Source organism: Homo sapiens, chromosome 7, assembly GCF_000001405.40.
Source record: "Homo sapiens chromosome 7, GRCh38.p14 Primary Assembly".
In the NCBI taxonomy this organism is placed as follows: Eukaryota; Metazoa; Chordata; class Mammalia; order Primates; family Hominidae; genus Homo; species Homo sapiens.
The window spans coordinates 96,002,952-96,014,489 of NC_000007.14; the positions used below are offsets into that span (position 1 = coordinate 96,002,952).

General features: G+C 38.8%; 1 protein-coding gene across 5 annotated transcripts in view; it reads left to right on the top strand.

Moving 5' to 3' along the window:
• DYNC1I1 (dynein cytoplasmic 1 intermediate chain 1) overlaps window positions 1–11,538 on the top strand; it is a 337,769-nt gene that overhangs the window by 230,398 nt on the left and 95,833 nt on the right. The window lies entirely within an intron of this gene.

The following is an 11,538-nucleotide window of genomic DNA, read 5'->3' on the forward strand; positions in this document are numbered from 1 at the left end:
TCCTGCCTCAGCCTCCCAAGTAGCTGGGATTACAGGCGCACACCACCACGCCCAGCAAAGTTTTGTATTTTTTGGTAGAGACAGGATTTCACCATGTTGGCCAGGCTGGTCTTGATCTCCTGACCTTGTGATCCTCCTGCCTCAGCCTTCCAAAATGCTGGGATTACAGGCGTGAGCCATTGTACCCGGCTGAACTCAGCATTTTAATAACCCATAAGGTTATACTATGTGTATGGCTTGAATATCATCCTGTTATTGTGCTTTTGCCACTTGCGAGGTACAGATGCATTGGCTTCCTTGGCTAGACTACTCACACTGATGGCCCCATGCCCCAGCTTCATAAATGAACCCTCTTGTACCTACGTAGCTCACATGGCTACAATGAATTATTTAGAGACTAACTGGCCATTTGCCGTGCTTAACACACTCTGTAGGCTATGAAGCAAGAATAAGGATGATGGGGCTGACCAATGTTTTCTACTTTCATTTAATACCAGTTTAGCATATCTGTTAAAAGCTGTCCCTCTTAGAGATATGTATGACCCAAGGACCCCTTTGGTAGGGCTTCCATTCTCTGGACTATCAGATTATGCATTTTCTTTATCCTACAACATTTTCATATAGGCAAGAGCAGGTTTAAAAGAATACCAGGTGGTCTGAAAGGAAAGAGAAGTCTCAGAAGGGCAACACCCTCCCTCAGAGATATGTGCATGGGGGCCCTCCTTTCAGGAAAGGAACCAGTACAGAGCAGGAGTGGGCTGTAGTTGCCCCAGGCCAGATGAGTCCCCACCAAGAGTGGACAGAGGCCACTACCACCCCCGAGAGGGATACTTGTATATTGCTTTGTCTTGTTTATATTCTAGGGATGGAACCACTTCTAGACTCCAGACCATCTATTTTTTAAAAATATAGCTTTTTCTCCCTCTGCAAACTAGGTCCACACTTTCTGATTTGTGTGTGTCTTTAAGTTGCCTAATATTGTTGGATGAATGGGGCTTTTTGAACACACTGTGTTATTAATAAATACAGAGACTCCTGGAATAAATAAATAATGTGATTCTCCAAGAGTCACATTCTTATTGTAATACATTTTAGACAGTGACTTTGAGCAAAACTTAATTTTTGGAATTATTTGAAAACATTTACTATTGTAGAGAATTTCTTCAAATATAATTATCTTTACTTCCCGGGGAAGTTTTCTAACCTCTATTGTAACAAATAGTCTATACTTTGCTTTTTCCGTTTTTATATCCGATTGTTTACTTTTAAATGGTATGTTCATTATTTGCCAAAGACTTGAGCAAGATGTTGCTTTTATTAGGTGAAAGATTTATCTTCGTTAATTTTTAACTCTAATCTCCTTGAAAATATATTGAGTTTATGCCTTATATGCTACAAATTATTGTATCCATAATCATTTTATAACTTCACTGTTTTTTGTTCTCTAAAGCCATTATGTTTTTTTCCTTTTGAGTTTTTAAAAAGTATTTCCAGCACCTATGAACAATAAGTTATGTTATGCAGCATTACATCTTTGCTTCTTCAATAACTTTGTCTAGTGTTATGTTGAGTAGTTGAAATTAAATTAAAATCTTTATTTCTTTAAAATGTTCATGATAAATATAGTCTTCTGAAAACTAAAGAAAACAGGAGCAAAAAATTGTACCCAAGTGCTCATGCTCACATAAATGCATGCACACACACACACACACACACACACACACACAACCAAGACTCTCAAATCCTAGTCAAAAGCTATATTTCACAAAAGAGAATTATAGTAACATTGATGGTTTGCCAAAACCTCAAGCAGTGACAAAATCCACAGTGTCCTGTAGGGGATGCCTTTGCAAAACCATGCCTCTCCAGATGGTTTAGATTAGAGATGTTTAAAAACACATGGCAGCATTAGCTTGGTTTAGAATTCATAGTTAATTCAGTAGATAAAATAATGCAAATTTGAAACCCTATCCTGTCTATCAGAAAAATCATCAAATCTTATGATTGCTCTTAGGAGAGGTTGGTATGTGATGTGTTGATTTTTAAATTATCTAATTGAAATAATAAAATTAACCAAGAAAAAGTAAAAAGAGGATTAAAATATAAGAGTATGAGTAAAAACTTTCTTCTCTGCAGAATATTTCTTCCTTTAAGCTGTCATATCCAATCAGTTTGTATGGGATTCGACAGCCAATTGTCATTTCCTGAGATATACTCTGTAAAGAGGTTGTGTTACAGAGACGGCATGAAAAAATGGAAAAAATAATTCCAGAGCATCATGCCAAGAGAAGCCAAAATGTCCTTAAAGACCACAAAGTGTTGCCAGGATCCCTTCACCTTGCTAATAATAGCAGATAAGCAGCTTACACACAAATTTTTCCTTTGGCTTATTTAGCTTTCCCTCCTAGACACTTTCTAAAAGAGAGTGCTCCCAGTCCACATTTTAGTAAATTATTTTGCCTTCTCTGTGATTTTTCATCTTGGGTGGGCGCTCTTTGTGAACAGCGATGTTGCATATTGCGTTATCTGACACGAGACGTATAGTAGTTCCCCCAGGACCCTAAAAGGCTTCATCACTAAAAGCTTGGCTCCCACTGTCCCCTTCCTTATGTCTAAAATCAACAGTATCCCATCCTCTGATCCCACAGCTGGACAGCCAGCAAACAACTCCTGGAAAAGAACTGCTGTATGGGAACAGTATTAATTTAATGATGTATATTATCGTGTATCCTACCAGCAGCATAAATGAAAACATTCGGCAGATATGTTGAAATTGCCACTGGAAGAACGCTCACTCAAGGACTCAAAGCCTTTCAGAAAATCCACACGGGGAAAATATGGGACAAAGATTCTACAAAAATAGAATCAGAAGTTTTCAAAACGCCGTTGCTAGGCTTTGAAGGGCTTGACTCAAAGTGGCCCAGTATTTACTTCCCCCTGAAAGTAACACATTTTGAGCATTTTTCCAAATATAAAAAGTAGAACTGTAGCTTTTAATGGCTAAAGGAGCTCCACTATCAAAGTAAATGTGCTTCTCTGGCAGCAAGGACACATGTGCGTGAAGAAAACAAGGGGGGAGCAGGAAGAGTAGGAAGGTCCCTGTCACAGGAATTTGTGTGGATTCATGAGTATTTCAACTGTAGATTTCATTTTGTTTTAAACATGGAGAAAATGTGTTAGCCAACCTTAACAACTGATCAATAGTTCTGCATATATCCCCACTTAATATGTGTAATGGGAGATATATTTTGTTGTTTCATCTAATAATCAATTTTTTAAATAAATGGGAATGGATGATGACTTGGCAGGGGAAGATGCGAGCATTCGAGAGAATCCAGGCGCTTCATCACAGGCATAAATGACACCATGCCAAAAGACTTCACTTTTGGAGCAGGTGCTCAGAGGAGAGAAAACCCCACCTGAGCCTTTCTCCCCCTCCCCAGTCACACTCCTCATGATGACCCTTACATGTTTTATTGCATCTTCTCTTGTGTGCTTTGTCAAATTTGTGAATATTTAGCTAATTTTCAGAACAGGATTTCACTGGATTATCACTTCTCTATATTGAAAACTGCTTTACATAAATTTCCTGCCTTTAGAACATTCCAATGTGTTCTTCCCTTTGTATGAGGGATTTTGAGCCAAGTTCTGTAAAACATCACAAATTTGGACAACATGGACAGAGAAGGCCAATTCTCAAATCAGATATGATTTACTAAAGAAGATCAGGATAATTAAATGATTCTTTTTGAAAAACAAATCATCACAGTCTCCAAACTATCCTTTGTGCAAATAGAAATTTTCACTATATCAGGTCCTCTGATATGACAGCTGCTGATTTGGGACATTGTTACAGAAGTGAAACAGAACACCAATGCTATGTTATAACTCAAACTTGTAATTAAACATCTGGGACCTGCCTGCTTTAATGAAGAGATAAGAATATTTGGTTGGTTGTGTATCATATCTCTAAACTGATACTACTGTGATTCAATCATTACACATTGTGTACATGTATCAAAATATCACATGTACCCCCAAAATATGTACAACTATGATGTATCAATAAAAAATGCAAAACAAAAGCAAATACAAAGATTGAAGGACTTAGAAACTATTTATTTTTTCACATTATTCTTTTAGTTAGCAAGTACTCTTTTTTTCATACACAGTGCAAAGAGAAAAAAATTACCCTTTATTGTTCTGTTAAAATTTCACTAGTTAGCTAGTACTTGTGTTACAGGAATAATGGCAAAATAAATGGGAAGTGGACTCTGTGAGCCTCTCAGACCTGTATTATTCCAAAACTAAATGTAAAATATTTTTTCTCAAAAACCTTTACAAATTCTTAAACAATGTCTGTATCATGGATACTTATCCTGAGGGATCCAACAGTGTTGAATCTTGCCTAGCAATGGAATGAATTCAAGCCATAAATATATTACATGACTGTTCTCCACCTCAAAACTCTTCTAAAGCAAGGGAGGACAGAAATGGAAAAGTAAATAATATAGTTCCTGTTTTATATTCTACATAGTTCCTGATGAAAACCCTTGGTGAGTTGTATGTGTGACTAGTTCATATCAATGATGTTTGGGTGCAAAATTCGGAGATAGCAAAGAGCTGCAAAATATGATACATCAGGAGAAATGAAAGTGTAGAGGTAGGGCAAGGCTTTTCATTGTTACCTACATAACACAATTTGCCATATCCTTAGGTTGATGGCAGATCAACCCAGCGAAAAAACACTCTAAGCCTCTGTACAGCATTTTTAAAAGAAGGCTAATGGATTTTTACTGCCTAGTTCACACATATCAAAGTAAGAAAGATGACACCTTGGGAAACAGGCAATATCAGTTGAAGCAAAGCATATTATAAATGCCAAGACCTATATTAGAATTTATATATGCCCAAAGCCTGTTTATTTGGGGACTGAATTCTCACTGGCTCTGAGCCTGAGGGGCCACAGTCCATTTCTCTGGTTAAGCTAGGTCAGTACCACCTGTGTTCCTACGGTGAAGTAAGAGCTGCTGAGACCCATATACCCTCCAGCCACTGTATTTATTATTGCACTTGGGAATGCTCTGCTCTTGAAGGCTGATCTGACGAGGGTGGGATCACAGGCAGCAGGTATGCCATGAACAACAAACCCATATTCTTAACATATGTTTAATTTGAGTAACTCTCCTCCTTTAAAATACCTCTTGATTCTGAATCCACATCCTGATTTGCCCACTCTTGTTACCATTTTCTGCTGCCTGTTCTGAATTAATCCTTTGAGGTGGTCATTCCCCGGAAAGAAAAAAGGAAAATGAGAAGAGAGATGCAAAGTTGGGAATGTGAATGAAAGAGAATGGGAGAGAGCAGAGGGAAGGGGGTCATTAACTAGAGTCTGCTTTCATGAGCTAGATTTTCTTTGAGCTGTATAAGAAAGGAGAGGTAGAGGAAGAAGAGAAATACAAAAAAAAAGGCACTTGAAAGGTTATCCATTAATACCCCTACTGAAGAATGAAAATCATTTTTTGCAATAGAGCTCAATTTACAGATTATTTTCATTTCTCTGTCGTACTTCATCTCAAAGAATTGATATAATCTAAAAAGTGGTTAAAATTATTAAAATAGTTTCCATAGTAGAAAATTAAATGATTTTACTAACTGTCAAAGTCAGTGTTTAAACTGAGATAATTTGAATTATATTTCATATAGTGATCATGTCACTAGGATGTCTAAACATTCTTTGGAAAAGTAATAATCCCTGATTCTGATTTCTCATCAACAGAAAACTGACTAAAGGTTAAGAATATTAGCCACCAATTGCTGTTATTTGCAAAAACCTAAAGAGAAGGCTGGTTTTCATGAGGAATTTTGAATTTAAATATATTCTCCACCTTGGAACAATTAACCCTTTAGGAGACTTTCTGCATTTTTCTTAGGTGTATTTTCTGCTCAGAGGGTCATGAAACTGCTTCAAATACTTGATTTAAAATATATTTGAAAGTTAAATAGCAATATATTATGCTATTAAATATAAGATGGCAAAATATTATGTTGCTTCATAACATCAAATTTGTTTTCCATCTATTTATCTATCTGTTTATCTGTCTATCTAGCAATCAATCAAATACAGGTTTTCCTAGGCCACAGCACACTGGTTTTTAAATGAAGTCATATTAACAGAGTAAAACATATTTCTCTGGTCCTCACCTCATTTGCAACTTAGGCCCTCTGGGGTCTTCACATTCTCCCACTTTTTTCCCGGGAGTTCTCAGAGGATATTGCAAATGTGTTCATGAATAAGGTTCCAATGACTGCCCGTGAAGCTAAAAGCAGCTTGCAATGACTCCAGCACTCAAGCCCCAAGGCCTTGCCCTCTGCCCTGTCCCCATTAGCATCTGAGGGCTGGCCTCACCCACTCCAGAGCAAGCTCCACCACTAGGTGCTGGTTTCCATTGCTGCAGTGCCATTGTTGCTGATGATGCTCTAGACCCCTGAGTAGCCCTGGGCCTTCCAGAACTGAAGCCAGCAGAGTCAGGGCATATTCCATGAAGAAGGAGACAAAAATGATTCTCTCCCCCAAAGTGTGTATTCTTTGTCTCAAGGAAGCCTAAACACACAGGCTGGATACTCCACTTGTTCATAACAAATACAGTCTTTTCTGTTGTTCCAGTAGCACCCTTTTGCAAATAGAGCTCTGCAGACCTCTCCCACTGATCTGCTATTCATGCCTTCTACACTGTGAACACTACTTAAACTCAAACCTGACCACCTGTTTAATTATATTTCAAGTTTGAAATGTAATGCTGTTTACCTCATCACTGGGGCAGATGACTTCTTTTTTTTTTTTAAGACGGAGTTTGACTCTTTGTTATCCAGGCTGGAGTTCAGTGGCACGATCTCGGCTCACCACAACCTCCGCCTCTCGGGTTCAAGCGATTCTCCTGCCTCAGCCTCCCAAGTAGCTGGAATTATAGCCATGAGCCACCACACCCGGCAAATTTTGTATTTTTAGTAAAGATGAGGTTTCTCCATGTTGGTCAGGCTGATCTCAAACTCCCGACCTCAGGTGATCCACCCGTCTCGGCCTCCCCAGACGACATTTTATTCAGAACAATTCAAGATATTTATTGAACCTAGCACTGTGCTAGGTACTGAAGCTACAATGATAAATACGACCTGTTCCTTGTCTTTGAGGAATCTGTCCCTGCCCCACTAGGTCAAAAGCAAGAATAGGTGATCTGAGGTAGAATGCATGGTACAAAACAAATAACTAGTGCGTGGTTGACCCGGAACACCCCAGCCGCCGCATTGTCACCTGACTTAAGGTGGTCAGTGGAGTGGAGGCGGGAATGGTTAGGTTCGTTTGTGGAAAAGGGCTTTGGAAGTCCGAGCTAGCTCGCATTAGGAGGGAGGCGACCTCACATGAAGAATACCTACCTCCTACCTCAAGATCCTGCAAATGTTTGGGGATGGCTGGTGAACCACAGGTATTCCTAAGCCTGGTTCTTATTAGGCAGGGAAAACTAGAAGCCTCGCTTTTCCTCATCCTTGCTGTGGAATGAAACCAATAAAGTCCATTACTATTTAGACAAGTGAGTGAATGCTGTTTGTTTGAGAAATACTGTTCCTGGGGAGGGTCTGACCAATAGAAGCCTCTGAAGGGCTTTTTGGGGGTGGAGAGAAAGCCCAGCTAGAGGGTGGTTCTAGTAATATAAGAATCAATGGCAACTCTGTTAATGTCATTAGGTTAAATCTACCTAATCAAAATCATAAGGAAAGCCTTACCTTTGCATACATATTTTTGTTGTTGTACAAATAAAATGAGTAGCTCAAAATCTAGCACAATGACTGTCTATACAGGGCTGAATATCTGTAAAAGAAAAACACCTAAAGAAGTTTGCATTGCCAGATGCTTGGCATCATGTAATCAAAACATTTTGAATGTATTTTAAAATAGTCTTCCAGATGTGTGACAACTTTGAGCTTAGCTACAGCCATTATCTACATTTTGGAAGGGGAGTGGAAAACTGAGTTCATTATTTAAATTATACGGGAAAATTGAATTCTTATTGCCTTCCTGGCCTGATTGCCTCGGGAAAAGGTAGTTTTATTTTATTTTTTGCCTTTCTACCAATTTCTTCAACACTGTATTTGACCTGACGAATGTAAACACAGTAGAACTTTCCACAGTACCTTGCATTTGCCATAAGAAAGATGTTATTGCCACCAAGGGGTGACATTTCTTGACTGTGGAAGTAGTCTAGTTATTTAGAATTCAACTTTTATTTTGTGCTTACTTTCCCTAGTTCTTGATATTAACTATACTTAATATGTACCAATCTGCCCAGTTTCTTTTCATTTTAGGGCTCATGCTCAAGAACATGGAATTAACTAAGGAAAAAAATAAGTTAAATAAAGTAGAGGGGTTTTTTGCCTTTGGACTAGATTTTCCCATAGAAATTCACGTTCTTCAGTGAGAGTTATGTGCTATGTTAAACCCACTGTAGGATATTTATCTGTGCTCAAAGTAGGTGCCAAATATTAAATAACCTACTAGAACTATAGGAAAAATTGCTCAGGAGAATTTTCACCTTGTGAAATTTGCAGTTATTTCCTCCAAGCCCACACAGAAATATTCTATTTGTACTTAAGTCCATCAATAAGTAAATCTGTGAATTTTGTCATTGATATGGTATCACTGCCAATTTTAAAAGAAGAGAACAACTCACATAGAAAATTTCGAAGTGGTGGTGTGTGTCAATCTAGTTCTCAAGACATATCTTTCTGTCAACATACTTGAGTGTACTGTTCAATTAACTTTCAATTATTCCTAATTAGTCTTTGACACCAGTTATATATATGATACATTGGTATAACTGGCATTTGGCAAATATAATAGATTGGCGTGTCTTTCTGAAGCTACGGTTAATTTAAAGATAAGACGGGATCCCTGTAATTGTACTGGTAGAAAACTGGTAGAAGTTTTCCCAAGTGACACATACCGATCAGCATAAAATGTTAACTGCTTCAAAACAATTGAAAAACTTAAAAAATGAAAATATGTTCCTATGGTCTGCCAAAACTATCCTGAAATTTTATCTGCGTTGGTGGGAGGAGGGTTGGGGACAGTGGCAGGAAGCTTATTGTTACATTTTTTTCATGCCATGAGAACAAATTTGAAAAAGTTTTGACAGAAGGTATATGGATTGTGATTGATGTGATGGTTGATAGCACCTCTACTGAGAGAGTAGTTCCACTAATGTAACTTAGGCTTGAAAGATTTATTTTGAAGGAAGAGGGTATATGCACTCATGGGTTGCAAATAACAGCAGAGTTTGGGTTTTTGCTAGTAGGTCTACAGTATGCTCTGTGCGTCTCTGCTTCTGTCTGAAGATTACCATCCTTTCTTTTTTGTTGGTTGTTCTGTTTGAAATGGCAATTGGGAAAGGAGTTTAGTAAGAGATAGGAAGTAGAAAGGAGTTTTAAATCTCTATTCTGCCTGGAACTTTAGCTGTCTCAATATGGGAGTAAACAATTCAAATTAACCTTTTTAGGAAAATCTCACAACAGATTATATTCTATCAGGTGAAAGAAAGTGAAATAGAACTAGGGTACATTTTTAAAGCCAAAACATAAACTCAGGTGAACATGAGCTCGAGTGAGTATGAAGGTTGTTTGTCTGGGAGTGTACAATATATATGTGACCATGACTTTAGCTAGTGATGGGCTGTGGGAATCAGCTGAATTTACATATACTTTGAAGTGCTTAATTTATCATTTTCTCAAAATATTTACAAGTTTATCAAGTATTTGTTGACCACGCTGATAGAATAATGGCCACCCAAAGACATCTCTATTCTTATACCAGGAACCTGTGAATGTTACCTCAAGTGGCAAAAGGGACTTTGCAAATAGGATTAAATTAAGGATCTTTTTTTATTATTTTTTTAAATTTTTTCCATAGGTTATTAGGGTACAGGTGGTGTTTGCTTACATGAGTAAGTTCCTTAGTGGTGACTTGGGGAAGGGTGGATGGGGGTGAGGGATAAAAGACTACAAATAGGGTATAGTGTACACTGCTCAGGTGATGGGTACCCTAAAATCTCACAAATTGAGGATCTTGAAATGGGGAGGTTATCCTGGATTATGTGGGTCGGCCCAGTGTAATCACAAGGGATCTCATAAGTGAAAGAGAGAGAGAGAGGCAAAGAGGGTCAGACTCAGAGAAGGAGATGGGATGATGGAAGCAGAATCAGAAGGTGTGATGTGAGAGAGAGACTTGACCAACCCTTGCTGGCTTTGAGGGTGAAAGGTGGCATGATGCAAGAAATGAGGGTGGCCTCTAGAAGTTGGAAAGAAGGCCAAGAAATTGATTCTCCCCTTTACCCTCCAAAAAGAAACGTAGCACTGTCTACCCCTCGATTTTAGTCCTTCCAACCTCCAGAGCTGTAAGATAATAAATTTATGTTGTTTTAAGCCACTAAGTGTGTCATAATTTGTTTTTGTTTTGTTTTGTTTTGTTTTGTTTGAGACAGGGTCTTACTCTGTCACCCAGGCTGGAGTGCAGTGGCATGATCTCAGCTCACTGAAGCCTCAACCTTCTGGGCTCTAGTGATCCTCTTGCCTCCGTCTCCCAGGTAGCTGGGACTACAGGCATGTACCACCACGCCTGGCTAATTTTTGTATTTTTTGTAGGGACAGGTTTTTGCCATGTTGCCCAGGCTGGTCTTGAACTCCTGGGCTCAAGTGATCCTCTGGCCTTGGCCTCCCAAAGTGCTGGGATTAGCAGGTAATTTGTTACTGCAGCAAGAGCAAATTAATGCTAATGCCTACCAAATCTTAGGAACTGGCTGAGGCACAAAGAACAACACAGAGAGAAGAGAAGCCCATCTCCTGCCCTTCTGAGGCTTCCAACTCCAAAGGATCCATTTTATTGTACCCATGAAGAAATTAAGCCCAACAGAATTAACATGATTTTCACATAGAAAATCAGTCTTGAGTACCAGTTCATGGATCTTTCCACTACGTCTGTATCCTATGATTAGGATGAAGGGGAAAAAATCACATCCTGTCCCTTCCCCACAACCTTTGTGTGTTACCGTAAGGGCTGCTGTCCTCTGACCAGAGCAGGAAACAAACAGCTTAATGACATTCAAATCATTTTTTACTTAGGAGGACTCATCTATAGAACAGAGTCATGCTTTTGCATTCTGAAGAGCTGGAACTCCCTACAGCCATTAAAGAAAGGGAAGATGGCCTGTTCTCTCAGGCAGTGGCCCTTAACTTAATTGAAGAAACTACGTCCTAAAGGAGTTAAGTCCCATGAACAAAGTGACACAGCTATAGAAAGAGAGTCTTTCCAGAACGTGAGTCTCCTGACTCCCTTTTCGGTTTTTGCCCCTTCTCCCAGCAGACATGTAAGGTTCCAGCTGCTTTTTCGGAATCTGAAATAGGAACCCAGTGCCTTTCACTAACCTACTTCCCAGCACACCGTGTGGATTACAAAGGGAAATTAACATGTAAAGAAACCCTTTGGAAACT